Below are 15753 nucleotides of genomic sequence, written 5' to 3' on the forward strand. Positions count from 1 at the left end.
CTTTTCTTGGTTGTTATTTGAAGTTTTAAAAATAAGTTAAGGCTGGATGTGGTGGCTCACACCTGTAATCCCAGTGCTTTGGGAGGCTGAGGCAGGAGGATTGCTTGCATCCAGAAGTTCAAGACCAGCCTGAGCAACATAGTGAGACCTTGTCTTTACAAAAAATAAATCAGCCAGGCATGGTGGCACATGCTCATGGTCCCGGGTATTTGGGAGGCTGAGGCAGGAGGATCTCTTGAGTCCAGGAGGCCAAGGCTGCAGTGAGCCATGATTGTGCCACTGCACTCCAGTCTGGGTGACAGAGTGAGACCCTGTCTTAAAAATAAAAAGTTAAATGCCATTAAAAACAAATGCAATAATTAACTTTCCCAACTATACCTAGTTCTCTCCAAGTCTGATGAGGGCCCCCTCACACAGACCAGAGAGTGGATGGAATCACTAGTACAAAACATGTAATTATTACCTATTTAACCACGGTTAGTAGCCAGCATAATCAAGGCAATACTTTTTATTCTCAAATATTTAGTTTTTCTTCTTGTTACAGAAGTAATACTTGTTAATGCAGAAAATTCAGCAAGGAAAGAAAAACACAAAGGAAATAAAATCACTTAATGGAGATGTTCTTCTACACAAAAATAAAGGTTTTGATGCACTTCATTTCTGTATTTTTTGTGTGTGTGTGCATTTTAAATACTCTTGTACTATTTATTTATTTATGAGACGGAGTCTTGCTCTTGTCACCCTGGCTGCGCTCGGCCTCTTGTACTATTTAATAGCTAATATGCATCGAAAATATCCCATATACAAGGGACTGTAAAACTTTCACCTTGATTTTAAAAAAATACTGTGAAGAAAATCATTGTAGGCTGGGTGTGGTGGCTCAAGCCTATAATCCCAGCACTTTGGGAGGCTGAGGCCAGTGATCACTTGAGCCCAGGAGTTTAAAGCCAGCCTGAGCATCATGGCAAGATCCTGTCTCTACTATAAATATGAAAACTAGCTGGGTGTGGTCGCACTGCCTCTAGTTTCACTGCCTGTAGTTTCAGCTGAGGTGGGAGGATGGTTTGAGCCCAGGAGGTTGAGGTTGCAGTGAGCCATGGTCGTGCCACTGCACTCCAGCCTGAGTGATGGCGTGAGACTGTCTCAAAAAACAAAACAAATCATTGTACATAGATCTCTAGGTTCTCTCTGGTGACCTCGTAAGGCGACATATGAAGGGCCTCATCATTCCCCAAGATTGTATGTGCTTGATCAACAGGAAGCTTGCTGAGTTTGACTCTGAAGGATCTGGGCAGCATCAGCAGCATGAGGCTCCCGCAAAGACGGTTTGTCCATTGGCAGTCACATGTCTGTAGGAGCTGTGATTGTGTGTATGACGCCACCTTCTGCAGAGCAGGCCTCACTGCAGGCAGGAGGCAGGCAGTGAGTCTGGGGGAACCTGGAATGTGGTCATGGTTAGGTTGCAGACTCAGCTGCGGAGACAGAACTCAATATCCCGTGGCTTTGAAGAGAGGTCTATTTCTTCATCGTGTTTAACAGCCCAGGGGCAGCAGTAAGGCTTGGCAGGGTGGCTCTGCCCTTGGCATCGCTTGCCATCTTGTCTGCATCTAGCTAGAGGGATGGACTAAGGATTGCTCAAGAGGGCAGTCCAGGAAGGCACACCTCGCTTCCTCTCCTTTCCCATTTGCCAGAACTCAGCACCAAGGTCAGGTGCTGCCAGAGGCTCAAGAATGTGGTCTCTAGCTGAGTAGCCCTAGGCCCACCTAAAAGGTGGCTGAATGGTCTTCGGGCCAGCCAGCAGCCTCAGCACTCCTGGTTCCTGGAAAGGTTGAGGGGCCTCAGCACTCCTGGTTCCTGGAAAGGTTGAGGGGCCTCAGCACTCCTGGTTCCTGGAAAGGCTGAGGGGCCACGTGGTGTCTCCGTTGGTTGTCACATTAGGTGATCATGTATTAAAAGCTTTGCCAGGAGGAAGCTGGAGTTGAAGCCAAGCATGAGTGTCAGGAGTGTTGTGCCACATGGAGGGCACGCCAGTCCCAGCACTAGCACATAGGGAGCAGCGCTGGGCCATGTCATTGCTCTGTAGGACTTCTTTGCTGCAATGGTCCTGCCTCTGCCCAACCAGGGGTGGTTCTGGGAAGGGAACTGGTTTGTTGGCCAAAAGTTCTTGGAGGTTGACTAAGGAACAGGCACCTGAGCGGGCTGTTGCGTGGGGAACTCTGTAACTATTTTCTCTAGAAGACCAAAAGGTAAAATGTAGTGGAAGAGCTGACCTGGGAACTGGTTTTGGTTAAAAGGTGAATTGGGAGCATCTTAGGGACAAAGCGGGAAGGGGCAGGGGACCTACCTAAGGTAACTTTTGCCCGTTTGCTCCAGCAACGTGTCGGCGCATGGTGTTAGTTATACAGTGGTAAAAACATGGGCTGTAGGGCCTGACACCAGCTGTCCAGACAGGTGACTCTGAGCACATCTCTAGGGCCCCTCAATCTCTTTCCTCATTTGTAAAGTGGGGTGATGTCTCTCCCACCCGTGTGACAAGGCTGTCATGCAGCTTCAGATGTACATGAAATGGCCTTGAAAGCTACAGAGCAGCCTACAACTAGGTGTGTTCATGTTAGGATCAAGGGCAAGAGGCCTCCCTGGAGGGCTATGGATCAAACACAGATCCGATGATCTAGTAGGGACCAGGAACTCTGAACAAACCCTTAAAGACACGGGATTTTGGCAGGCAGGACCAGATAGACTTTGCTGAGTGACCATGTGTTAGGTGCTGTGTCTAACCAATTAATTCCTAAACATAATCTACTCAAACCAAATTCTCTAGGCCAAAAGGGCTTTTTGGCCTTTATACTCAGGGGATACCAAAAAAGGACATAAAAATAAAGCCTTCTACATTCCAGTTTAAAAGACAGTGAACATAATATGATCTGTTCTGGAAGCTTTTTATTGTTGCTCCAAGTTTAAGAATTTTCACTGATGGCAGAAAACCAACACTTTTAGACAATCTCCCGCATAGCCCTGCCCAGCTTCTGAATCTTGGTCTTGACAGACATGTCAACATATTTCTCGCCAATGCGCACAATCATTCCACCCAAGATTGACGGATCAGTCTACAAAAGAAGTAAGACTGGAAATGTGAAAACGCGCTAATCAAATGGGACACACAAAAAAGTGTTTTGAAAGGCTAAATGTGTTGCACAAATGTAAGAGGTTATAATTACACCTAGAAAAAGGCAAAAGTAAAACTGCACAGTCAGATAATCATTTAAATTTAAAATAAATACAAAATTTTAACTACAGAAAAATTAGTATAGAGTTAGATCTAATATTTCACTAGTACTTTCTGTAGCCATTTTAAGCTTAAAATAACCCGAGAAAACGTACCATAAATAATTTAAAACCTACCTTAGCCTCCAATTTCAATACTTGGCCTTGACTTAGGAAGCTCTTGAGGACAGTTTTTAATTCAGAGAGTGTGGCTTCTTCTAAAGGCTGAAAGGCAAAACCATCCTTTCAATTTAGATAAAGCAAAACAGAAACTTCCAGAGTTAAAATACCCCAGGCCCACATCACCAAGACAGGCCTTGTGAGCTCCTCCCTTTGCTACCTGGGCCCATCATGGAGCTGCTCTGCAGCATTCACTCCTTGTTCACGCTGGAGGTTCAGGGAGCACAGGAAGGCCCTGCCTCACAGCATCACCCGGGCAGCTCCCACTCAGCCGTTCAAGGACGGCCTGTAAATGCCACTCCCTCCCTGCCTCTGCTCTGTGTGCTAGCAGTACAACTTGGAACTAACAAGGAAAGGCCTTCAAGTTTCTAATGCCTGAAGATGCAGCCCCATCAATGCAGGAGGACACAGGCCTCTCCTGGGTGCAGCCCTGGGGACACGACATGCATCTATCATGTCCTTGGCTGAAAAGTTGCCATTTTAACCTGGTTTTACATCTTCATGTTTGCCTAGCTCTGCTGGCTGTTCATCTCCCCGCATCCACAGCTACCTGGAGCTCTGGCAGGCCACTCCACTCTCTGAACCCCAGTGAGAGAACCTGGAGCAGTTGGCTTTTCCTGAAGTCAGCTCAGCTCCATAACCTACTTTAGAGCAAGCACCTCAAATGTCCAGACTGCACTCTCCTCTCGGCCCCAACTCTTACTCCTGGTTAGTTATGTTATAGTGTTAAGTGTTCTAATGGTGAAAATGAAGAAGGCTGTTAAACCAAAGGCCTTTTTTTTGAGACCGAGTCTCGCTCTGTCACCCAGGCTGGAGTAGAGTGGCGAGATCTCGGCTTACTGTAGCCTCCGCCTCCCAGGTTCAAGTGATTCTCCTGCCTCAGCTTCCCAAGTAGCTGGAATTACAGGCGCATGCCATCACACCCGGCTAATTTTTGTATTTTTAGTAGAGACGGGGTTTCACCATGCTGGTCAGACTGGTCTCGAACTCCTGGCCTTGAGTGATCCACCCGCTGCAGTCTCCCAAAATGCTGGGGTTACAAGTGTGAGCCACCACACCCTGCTAAAAAGGCCTTTTTTTAACTTGTCATAAATCCTACCTCCCTGGCCCCTCCTCTAAGAGCCTAAAAAAATTTGGCAGAAAAATTTATGTCTTTGTAAAGATATAACAATATCCTTTTTTTGGGGGTGGGGGGTGCTGGTGGTGGCCAGAATCTATTCGTGTTCAAAACATGATTTACTGAGACTAAAAGGTTACAGAATTCTGAAATATACATACCCTCCACTGAGACATGTACCAACTGCCAGGTACCTGTCTATGCCAGGCACATTTCATGCCTACTATCTCCCTTCATGTGGGCAACCCTGAAAGGCCACCGGTCATTATGCCCATTTTACATATGAGGGAACGGAGGCTCAGGGTGGGTAAGAAACTCACCTAAGGCCACATCAGCAGGTGAGGACCAGCCCCAATATTTGAAACCAGTCTGTGTATTTCTAAAGCCTGTGCTCTTAGTCACTCATCAAGACATAACGTTTTTCAAACAGTACAGACTCACGCACCCAACAGTATCAACATCAAAAGCATTAGTAACAGTTGGTTCTAAAATCTTTTGCAAAAACAAGCATCCTTTAAAAGAAAATCATGGCCTTGTGGCTGTGCACGGTGGCTCACACCTGTGGTCCCAGCACATTGGGAGGCCAAGGTGGGTGGATTGGCTGAAGTCAGGAGTTCGAGACCAGCCTGGCCAACATGGTGAAACTCCATCTCTACTAAAAATACACTAAATTAGCCGGGTGTGGTGGCAGGTGCTGTAGTCCAGCTACTTGGGAGGCTGAGGCAGGAGAATTGCTTGAACCTGGGAGGCGGAAGTTGCAGTGAGCTAAGATCGTGCCACTGCACTCCAGCCTGGGTGACAGAGTGAGACTCAGTCTCAAAAAAGAAAAAAAAAAAAAAAAAAAAGAAAATCATGTCCTTGTGTTCACTGAAGAATGGCCTGCACCAGTGCTTCATGATGGGTGACCGTGGGGCAGGTGAATGTCTAATCTGTGCCACACTGTTAGGGATAACTGATGCAGCCACAGAGGGCTCCCTGCCTATGTCTGAGCTGTAATGATTTGCAGCCAGGCACATGTTTTGGGGGCACCAACTACTGAACTACAAACGTGCAAGTAAGTATGATGTGCTAGGATGCCTCTCCTTGAATCTGTGCTAACTAGAAGGTTAGACTGTCCTTTAAATGCTACATCTATTAATCTAGATGAGGTCAGGTGCTACGAATTCCAAGTCAATCTACCACACTCCCCTGTTTTCCTGTAGGGTAAGCTACACTACATTTGACTGAGTTACATAGGGAAGAAAATACATATTGAAGACAACAACAAAATTAATTCTAGGGAGGCAATGTAGTGTAGTCTAAGGAAAATGGACTTCTAAGAGGCCTTGAGGCCTGTGTTCAAATTCTAGTCCCACCTCGTATGACTTTGGGCAAGCGACTTCATCTCCCTGCATTCGGTTTCCTCATCTGTAAAATGAGGTTAATTATACTTCTATCTCACATGAATCTTTTGATACTGAATAACATAATAAAGCACCCAGCATATAGTAGGGTTCAATAAACGGTAGCCAATTATAGCCCACTATCAAGTCAAAAAGATACAAAGGCCCAACGGCTCTACTCCTTCCCACTCACCACCACCAAAGATGAAAGGTTAGTAACTCTAGTTTCAGGCCAGGTGTGGTAGCTTACACCTTTATTCCCAGCACTTTAGGAGGCCAAGGCAGGTGGGTCACTTGAGCCCAGAAGTTCGAGACAAGCCTGGAGAACACAGTAAAACCTCCATCACTATAAAAAACACACAAAAATTAGCCGGGTGTGGTGGGGGTGCACTGTAATCCCAGCTACTCAGGAAGCTGAGGCAGGAGGATCACCTGAGCCCAGGAGGTTGAGGCTACAGAGGTGTGACTGTGTCACTGCACTCTAGCCTGGGTGACAAAGTGAGACTCTGTCTCAAAAAAATAAACTCTAGAATTCTAGTTTCAGGAAACTACTTCAAGTGGTATTCATAAAATAATTCAAACATATAATAGAGTCTAAACCACTCTTTTCCAACACATTTTGATGTACTTTACATTTAACCCAGGCCTTATGAATAATCACTGGTTACAGAAGCACTAATAAGATACACGCTGGCTTTTCCAAAGCAAAGGGTCACAGAAGCTGATATAAAAATGAAACAAACATCCCAGGTGACAAGTTACCTTTCCCAATTTCTTGATTTTACCCTGTTTTTCCCTTTTCTTCCTGCAAAAGGTGACACATGTAATATCAAGGCAAACACAGCAGCAACAACCCGTTACTTACAGATGCAGAGGTCACTGTGCAAGGTACCTCTCCGCGATGGACACTCATCATGGTAGAAAAGGCAGAAACGACTCCTTGGGTATTGCTTAATCGACCATTTTCAGCAAGCAAATCTGCCAGAGTGAAGGTGTCTCAGTAACAAGAAACTCACCTGAACAAGTTATTCATGAAGTTGTATACTCAACCCAAAAAACAAACTTAGATTTGTGGCCTTAAAACACCATATACAGGGGCGCATGCCTATAATCCCAACTACTGGAGGCTGAGGTGCAAAGATTGCTTGGGGCCATGAGTTCAAGACCAGCCAAAATAGTGAGATCCCATCTCTACAAAAAAACGTTAGGGCTTGGTGGTGCATGTCTATAGTCCCAGCTACTCAGGAGGCTGAGGCAGGAAGATTGCTTGAGCCTAGGAGTTTAAGGCTGCAGTGTGCTATGACTGTCCTACTGCACCCCAGCCTGGGCGACAGAGCAAGATCTTGTCTCTTAAAATCACAGTATATTCAATGTTCTTTAACAATGTGAATGGAGGCCAAGTGCAGTGGCTCATGCCTGTAATCCCAGCACTTTGGATGGCCGAGATGGGCAGACAGCTTGCGTCCAGGAGTAACATGGGTGAAACCCTGGGTAACATGGTGAAACCCTGCCTCACAAAAAAAAAACTAAAAAATTAGCTGGGCACTCAAAAATTAGTGGCGCATGCGCGCAGTTCCAGCTACTCAGGAGGCTGAGGCAGAAGGATCACTTAAGCCCAGGAGGCAGAGGTTGCAGTGAGCTGAGACTGTGCCACTGCACTCCAGCTTGGGTGACAGAAAGGGACACCCAGGCTCAAAAAAAAAAAAAAAAAAAAAGAATGGAGAAGATACAACTTGTTATTTAAAACGCATATCCAATTTTTTTTTTTTTAAATAGACTGCACTGACAAGGATTTAAATTAGTAGGTATGGGGGGTTCTCAGCTTGCAATCTGATTTTCATATTTATGTTACAGATTGTATGTTTGGCTACAAATTCAAAGATGATATCATGAACACACTTTCTCTGCAACTTTTATTTTGAGCTGGCTATGAGGATCTGAAAAGCAATCCAGGCTGCATGGTGGCTCATGCCTGTAACCCCAACACTTTGGGAAGCCAAAGCAGGCAGATGGCTTGAGCCCAGGAGTTCAAGACCAGGCTGGGCAACATGGAGAAACCCCATCTCTACAAAAAATACAAAAAATTAGCTGGGTGTGGTGGCATGCACCTGTATTCCCAGCTACTAGGGAGGCTGAGGTGGGAGGATCACCTGAGTCTGGGAGGTTGAGGCTGCAGTGAGCTGAGATCGTGCCACTGCACTCCAGCCTGAGTGACAGAGTAAGACTCTGTCTCAAAAAGAGAAAAGCAGTCCAAATGTACCCAAGAATGCAAATGTATCCAAGGATCAAGGTATAGCCACAGGCCACGAACCATTTTCTTGGTAGGTATCACACTGGCCGCCTCCACAGTTGAAACTACTGACTATACAATTAGACATGCTTAGGTCCTAGTATCCTTTAGACGATGCTCCTCACACTTCAATGTGCAAACGATTCACTTAGGGAGCTGGTTAAGATACAGACTCTGATTCAGCAGGTTGCTGTGAGGCCTGAGATTCTTCACTGCCAACAGGCTCCCAGGTGATGCTGATGCCGCCCACAGTCCATGGACCACATTTCCAGTCATAGTTTCAAGACACCTCAAATGAAAAAGTTCTAATACTCACTGATCAGATTGGTAGTGAGGGGAGAGAACCTCTCTTTTGCTGTGATGTCATTTAGGCTTTTCACTTTAATGGAACGCTTCACATAGGGATTCAAAACAGAAGCAGCCACTTTGGGTTCCTTCAGGATTTGCTGAAAGCATCAAAAAATAATTTCTTAAATTTTTTAGAGCACAAATGAAGGATGTGCCATGCACACACTTTCTTTCTTTCTTTTTTGGAGACAACGTCTTGCTCCGTCGCTCAGGCTGGAGTGCAGTGGCGCAATCTTGGCTCACACAACCTCCACATCCCGGGTTCAAGCGATTATCCTGCCTCAGCCTCCCGAATAGCTGCACCACCATGTCCCGCTAATTTTTGTATTTTTAGTAGAAACGGGGTTTCGCCATGTTGACCAGGCTGGTCTTAAACTCCTGACCTCGAGTGATCCACCCACCTCGGCCTCCCAAAGTGCTGCGATTACAGGCATGAGCCACTGTGCCCGGCCATACAAACACTTTCTTATGAATTAAATATTTTATGAATTAAATTAGCACTGCCGAAGAACATATGAAAAAAAGATTATAATCAAACAATTTTCTGACTGCCTTTCAGAATACACTGTGCACTGCACCAGGATTTTATATAGAATGATGTTCCTCAAAAAAATTTAAAAATACTGTACGAACTTTCTTAAATTTGTTTTTGCTTTTCAAGAAAGATTATAAAACACTAAACAGCCAAACCTTCATTAGACTGCATACTTTAATATATTTAAGAGAGGAGTCGTCTGGTTTTCTAGCAGTGCTATTTCTAGAGTGCAGACCTCACAACTGTGCTCTGACCACAGAGGCCTCCGCACCGCTCCCTTGGAGGGGCCCTGCCTCTTACAGAGTCCAGGGAACCCAGCAGATTCTGTGAGGCCTCTGGTGCTGCCAGAGCGGCCCCAAAGAGTCTGGGAGACAGAGTGGACAATAAAACAGGAGCACAACCATCATGGGAAACAACGTTCTTCTCATTTTGTTGTATCACAGTGTCTGAATTCAGTGACCAAGTGCAGCTTCCAGCATGTTGCTCCAGAGTTCCAACAAACGAACAGCAGTTTCCAGTTGAGCACCTTCAGTTAACACACCTCTCTATGCTTTTCAATTACGCTCCTAGCACCTCCTCCCAGGCTCCTGGCCAGAATCCTGCCTCTGATCCAGGATACTGGTCAGATACTATCATCCAATGCTAACATTTCCACTTGAGTGACCCCACAGAAATGACATTTTTCCATAAAAAATGCAGGAATATACAGATTTAAAGCATTCTGGAATTTGGGTTACCTAGTTTTTCATGTTTATCTGTGTCTCCTGCATCATCCAGAGGACAGTGCGTATCCTTGTATCATCCTTCCCTCTTAGTGCCAAAACCCTGCTAATATTCAGTGTCTTAAGGTAATTGCCTCCCTTTTTCTCCATGTCTCGACTGACTTCCAGGCTTTAGACAAACTCTATTCTAATATCCACAATCCAAGTAATTCTCTCCATTGTAAACATGATTGTTTCCGTTTAAAATGGGCATAACTGACAAGTAGCAGACAATAACCATCACCTCCAAAAATGCCTGTGTGAGACCCCGTCTGTTCCTGCATGCCCTTCCCCCAAATGTCTCCAACAACAGGGCTGGGCTCCTGGGCTCTGAGAGAATCATAAGAGTTTATCACACCAGCTAAGACCTTAAGCATTATCTGCAGAGATAAATGGATCAAGGAAGGAATATGGAGCTAAAATTATTCTGCCTGTTAAGACGGAAGTTCCAATAGAAGCTCAAGTGAAAAATGAATAAAACATAAACAGTACAGAACAGTAATACTTATAGACTATACATACGATGATTAATATAGAACGTAAGTATTATTACTCTATACAACTGGCCTATGAATTGTTTTTTCTAAACAATAAAAACTTGCAGATATGTGAATTAAAGAATGAAGAATCTTAAAATGAAGAAAAAACCAAACTTCCTCTGAAGAGGCTATATACCAGACTGCGTCTCCCTCACCTTTTTTAATGCAGACCTTACTGCCAGTGGTGGCGCTAGAAAATCGAAGGAAGCAACAGAATGTGTAGAAACTTGTTAACTAGAAAATTCGGTGAAAACGAAAGCAGACATTCTCCTATTCAGTTACAATGTAGGCTTCTGGTAATACGGTTTATTTATTCTGCTTTTCATGTTTAAAAAAAAAAGTAAAAAACATCTTGCAGCAGCCTCACAGTCTTTGCCTGTCAGTCCTCTACTACTACTGGGAAGCCCATGCCCCTTTACTAACTCTGCTGCCCAGCGCGCCCCACCCTGTTATTCTTCCCTCACATTTTGGGAACAAAATAATTAAGAGGTTTACCAAAACAATGAAAAGGTCTACATGGTTACTTCTGGGGTTCTGGCAATTGCAAAGGCATCTCTACCAAATGAAAACAACCTGTAAGACATATCTGAGCCTCCTCTGATTCTACAAGCATAGAATATGGCAATTAAAACCTGAGGAAAAGGTTTCATGAAAACAAATTCTCAGTAAAACCAAATCACAATATATTCTAAACACCTAGCCCATAAGCATAGGTTTTTTTTTTTTTTTTTTTTTTTTGAGACGGAGTCTCGTACCGTCCGGGGCTGGAGTGCAATGGCGCGATCTCGGCTCACTGCAACCTCGGCTTCCCAGGTTCAAGCAATTCTGCCTCAGCCTCCGGAGTAGCTGGGATTACAGGTGTTCACTACCACGTCCCGCTAATTTTTTGTATTTTTTAGTAGAGATGGGGTTTCACTATGTCAGCTAGGCTGGTCTTGAACTCATGACCTCCTGATCTGCCTGCCTCAGCCTCCCAAAGTACTGGGATTACAGGCGTGAGCACTGTGCCCAGTTATAAGCATAGATTTTTAAAGGTAGCTTTTAAATTCTCTTCTGAAATAGCAATTTTCCTAAATTACCATCCATTTTAATCTTATATTTCTACCTTTTCTTAGCCCCTAATCTTGGTTCCTAATATTAATATCCTTATATGTATCTGTTTGTTCTTTTTATATGTCTTATAATAAAAACCCAATATTATTACTAAAAATGTGTTTACAGACAATGGCTTTTTCCCAGTTTTTTCTTGTAGGATACACCTCATTAGGAATGCACAAACAACCAAAGGAAAAAATATACAAACAGGAACTTCATATGTAATGAATAGGAAAGCTACTTACTGCTACTCTCAACAACTCCTTTTCTACTTGCTCCAGCTTATTCTGTTTTGATGCAGCAGAATAAAGAGCTGTGGCATAGCGACCTTCAATACCGTATACCTGAACAGGAGGCTTTAAAAAAAAGGTGAAATAGGAGAGGAAAGAAAAAGGAAAATCAGTTAATAGTATACTCTCAAGAGCAGAATTTAAAATTTATATTTTAAAAAATGTATCTCTTTAACACAAAACAGTTTAAATATGTCATTCAAGAGCTGTCCTAAATGGCAATTTGCAAATAAATTAGCGATGTTTCCTTGGTCAGGTCACTCAATCTTTGAGCCTCCAATTCCTCATCTGTAAAATGAGGGGCTTAGTAGGCATTGTCTAAAGTCCCTTCCAGGTTTACATACCTTTATCAATTACTTGTACTTTAATTTTGAGATAAGCTTATGTTTCCTTTGAACTCAGTAACTATTTAGTTTCAAGTATGGGAGGTTGTGAACACTGATAGACAGTTTCGAGTATGTTAGAGCTAGGAAAACAGGTGTTTATGAAACACACAAGTATACTTTTATACATTTCATACTAACACTACACATTTTCCCTTACATAGCCTCCCTATCGATGTTCAGTGTAACAGAGCCCTTTGGCAGTTTACAAAAAAACCTGATGCTTGAATTATTTTTCACAATAAACTATAGACTTTTTTTCTACCATCAATGTATGACTACATGTTCTTAGTGGTGCTGTATGGTTGTAGTGGGAAAGCTCAGGCTTGGATGAGAAAGATTTAGTTCCAGTCCAGCTCTAGGACTAAGCTGAGTAACCTCAGGTAAATTTTCCCAGGGCCTCAGTTTCCCCTTTTGTAAAATGGGAAGACCAGTTACTCCTTAACACTGTTATGAAGTTTTAAGGTCTCACATGAAGGACGAAATGATTTTGATCATTTGATTTGAGATTTAGGGCTGGTAATGAGGACGGGACAGGATAATTATCTTCCTAAATTCCACCTGACGTGGGCTCATTAAGGACACAGACCTGGTATGATCATCTTTCCTTTACACGATTTTTCCAAGGGGCGGACTGGCTCACTGTTGATTTGGTGGGGAAAAGCGTGGGTAGTATAGTCTGCCCAGCACATCTTAGAAAAGTTCCTGCTCCTTGACAGTTGAACCAATTCTCTATCACACAGGAACTTTCTTTAATCAAATAAAGAATTTCAAAATAACCCATAGAAATGGAATCAGACTTCATGTTCCAACAGGGTTGTTTCCAGCTGTTAGCCATGTATCATTTCAGGGGGCCTTCTGGGGAACTTCATTTATTATGTGTCACTAATAGTCCTCTTTATCCGGGGTCAACTGGATTACTTCTGGTTTGAAAAGAAAGGGACTGGCAACTCCCTGAAATAGTGAGCCTCCTTGGTGCCTACTGGAAAGAAAGGGTGTGAAGAGTATGAATATTTCTCACCAGAATGGAACATGGAGAACTGCATTAGAAACCCAGGTACCTTGATATTTTTTTTTTTTCGAGACAGAGTCTTGGTCTATTGCCCAGGCTGGAGTGCAGTGGCATGATCTCTGCTCACTACAACCTCCGCCTCCCGGGCTCAAGCAATTCTCCTACCTCAGCCTCCCGAGTGGCTGGGATTATAGGCATGCGCCACTATGCCTGGCTAATCTTTGTATGCTTAGTAGAGATGGGGTTTCATCATGTCGGCCAGGCTGGTCTCAAACTCCTGACCTCGTGATCTGCCCACCTCGGCCTCCCAAAGTGCTGGGACTACAGGCGTGAGCCACCGCGCCCAGCCCGGTACCTTGATTTTAATATCGTCTCCTGTAATAACTTCCTGTGATAACTTGGGCATGTCACTTTGTTAAACCTGTTTCTTTCATTAAAAAAAAAAAGTAAGTAAATGCTAGCTTGCCTATTTTAGAGGGTTAATGGAAAAACAAATGATTAAAAAGTTTTCATATTTAAAGATTATGCATGGGCCTGTCAAAAAGCAAATACTCAACACCATTCCTTTCCCCACCCTATGCACACAGCACATTTTGGGAACCACAAGTCACGCAAAAAGGTTTAGATAGTAACTACACAAAAATCCACGCCCTGACTGTACTGCTGTTTGACTCACACTTTCGCGTACTTTATCATTACAGAAGAATATAAATTAACATACCCTCACAAGCTTGGCAAATGGTCTGACCACAGAGGTACTGAAGCATCGCACCTTCAAAGCAATAAAGGAAAATAGATCAAACAAAATTACTTGAAGGATTTCTGCATTTAACTCAATAACAACAAAAAATTTTAAATAACCTTAAAATCATTACTTTTGTCTCTTTGTATATTCACATATTACATGAGGGTGAGCTACTTACTATTACTAAGGGGTAAACTTACCCAATGAGGATTATGCCAAGTTGCTTGGGAAATCACCTTCCCACGAACCTCCTAGTTTGCTAGGAATGGACCGAGGCTAGCATACCCGTAAGACAGAAAAACACTAACTTCCAAGGAGTGCATGTTTCAAAAATATTTAACCAAAATTTTGGCGTTTCTATTAACAGACCCTTGAGCAGATCATTTGCAACAGACGTACCCTCCTCGGAATGCAAATGCTATCTGAAAATAAAGATGAATTTTTTGAGTACTGCCGCAGAGTTTGATCTGACAAGAAGCCTTAGTTCTGAGAGACACTATCCTGCCCATCAAAAGACAGAGCTGGAATACACAGTTTAAAAATCACCTGCAAGCGCACAGGTCACAGATCACAGGTCACCTTCAAATACTCCAGCTATGGAACGTGTTTTATCAAAACTGCTTGTGAGGATTAAGACTTTTTAATGCTTATGAAAAAATTACCTAAGATGCCAGGAAGGGGTCATGATATGTAAAGCACCATGGTGAGATGCAGCACAAACAGCATAACATTTTTTCAAACTCGATCTTCTGGGTGATTCCGTGGGTTCAAATCTCAATTCTACCACTTACTGACTGAGCAGCCAAAGACTCATTTAAACTTTTCGGCCTCATTTTATTTATAAAACTGTGAAATGTGTTTTACAAATATTCCTTAGCATTACTAGTAAGTGATCTCTGACAGGTTTTACCACAATGGCAAAGGAAGCTGATTTGGGGGCTAGTCCATGCCCCTTCCCCGGAATTCAGCGAAGGGCAGACCCCCTCTCCTGCGCCCCTCAGGCTAGCAGCTTCCAGGGGCTGTGCTCGGAAGACGCCAAGGTTACGGCACGCGCAGCCCCGCGCCTACTGCCCCGTAGGCATCCCGGGGGACAAACGCTGGGTCGTCCTGAGTCGCTCCCACTCGCCAGGTCCCATAACCTTGAAGACTGCCAGACTTCCCCAGCCGAAGCATCGCACCCTGGTGCTCGAGGTTTGGTACCGGTCATCCCAGGAGGGATCCTCCCACTGGCTCTCAGGACCACCTTTCTCTCACCTGCCGGGAGAGCCCGGACACTGCTGGGGCAGCCATCTTCTCCCGGGCGGCTGTAGGTCAAACCCGAGTGGGAAGAGAGAAACGCGCAAGGGCGCACGCGCGCGTTGGCGTAACCGCTAGGTTCTCTGGGAAGTGTAGGCGTAGGGCGTCAGGCCGCAGGCGCAGAGACCTCCCTCGGGCTGGGAGTTGTAGTTCTTAGCAGTGGTAAGGGCTGGACCCTCGGGGTGGAGCCACAGGGCTTCGACTGCATCTGAAAATGAAGTCATTGTTACTGGCCAAGCGGCGCTCACTGTAGAATGGATTTGCTGTCCCCAGTTTTAAAATTTACATTTAGATAAATATGGTGGCATTTGTTCCATTTCACAGTTATTACCAGCGTCACTGGCTTCTTTACACTTCCTTCCCAGCATGCTAAAGCCTGCATCAATGGCTTTTTCTCACGTTGCATACAAAGACAAAACCAAAACAAAACAAAAAGCCCCCAGGAGCCTTGCAGCTCCAGGAGCGGACACCACGTCTCTCTTACCTGGGCCATGACTACCCATTGTTAAATAAAGA

General features: G+C 44.3%; 1 protein-coding gene across 1 annotated transcript, besides 3 other annotated features; it reads right to left on the reverse strand.

Annotated features, from left to right (window-relative positions):
* Window positions 1249-1844: an enhancer, noted in NCBI's record as "H3K27ac-H3K4me1 hESC enhancer chr21:35274085-35274680 (GRCh37/hg19 assembly coordinates)". NCBI's record gives its function as "activates a minimal SCP1, AML or CMV promoter by ChIP-STARR-seq in primed H9 embryonic stem cells {active_cell/tissue: H9 hESC(primed)}" and the evidence as "EXISTENCE:reporter gene assay evidence [ECO:0000049][PMID:30033119]".
* On the reverse strand, window positions 2921-15272 carry ATP5PO (ATP synthase peripheral stalk subunit OSCP). Its single transcript, NM_001697.3, has 7 exons — window positions 15196-15272; window positions 13918-13968; window positions 11757-11867; window positions 8550-8679; window positions 6809-6921; window positions 3403-3489; window positions 2921-3107 (listed from the first exon to the last, which is right to left on the reverse strand). The coding sequence occupies exons 1-7, from the start codon at window positions 15229-15231 to the stop codon at window positions 2994-2996; spliced, it is 642 nt and encodes a 213-aa protein (NP_001688.1). The 5' UTR covers window positions 15232-15272; the 3' UTR covers window positions 2921-2993.
* Window positions 13130-14329: an enhancer, noted in NCBI's record as "MED14-independent group 3 enhancer chr21:35285966-35287165 (GRCh37/hg19 assembly coordinates)". NCBI's record gives its function as "activates an origin of replication core promoter dependent on BRD2, BRD4, P300/CBP and CDK7 cofactors, and independent of MED14, by STARR-seq in HCT116 cells {active_cell/tissue: HCT116}" and the evidence as "EXISTENCE:reporter gene assay evidence [ECO:0000049][PMID:35650434]".
* Window positions 14844-15453: an enhancer, noted in NCBI's record as "active region_18384". NCBI's record gives its function as "activates an Ori minimal core promoter by ATAC-STARR-seq in GM12878 lymphoblastoid cells {active_cell/tissue: GM12878}" and the evidence as "EXISTENCE:reporter gene assay evidence [ECO:0000049][PMID:35858748]".

Source organism: Homo sapiens, chromosome 21 (assembly GCF_000001405.40).
Source record: "Homo sapiens chromosome 21, GRCh38.p14 Primary Assembly".
Taxonomy (NCBI): Eukaryota; Metazoa; Chordata; class Mammalia; order Primates; family Hominidae; genus Homo; species Homo sapiens.

Bases quoted from the DNA above. Each gene is read 5' to 3' on its own strand.
- ATP5PO (NM_001697.3), bottom strand. From the start codon at position 15,231: ATGGCTGCCCCAGCAGTGTCCGGGCTCTCCCGGCAG. The intron at 13,969-15,195 runs GTGAGAGAAAGG...ATTGCTTTGAAG, and splicing joins TGTCCGGGCTCTCCCGGCAG to GTGCGATGCTTCAGTACCTC. The intron at 11,868-13,917 runs GTATGTTAATTT...TTTTTTTTAAAG, and splicing joins CATTTGCCAAGCTTGTGAGG to CCTCCTGTTCAGGTATACGG.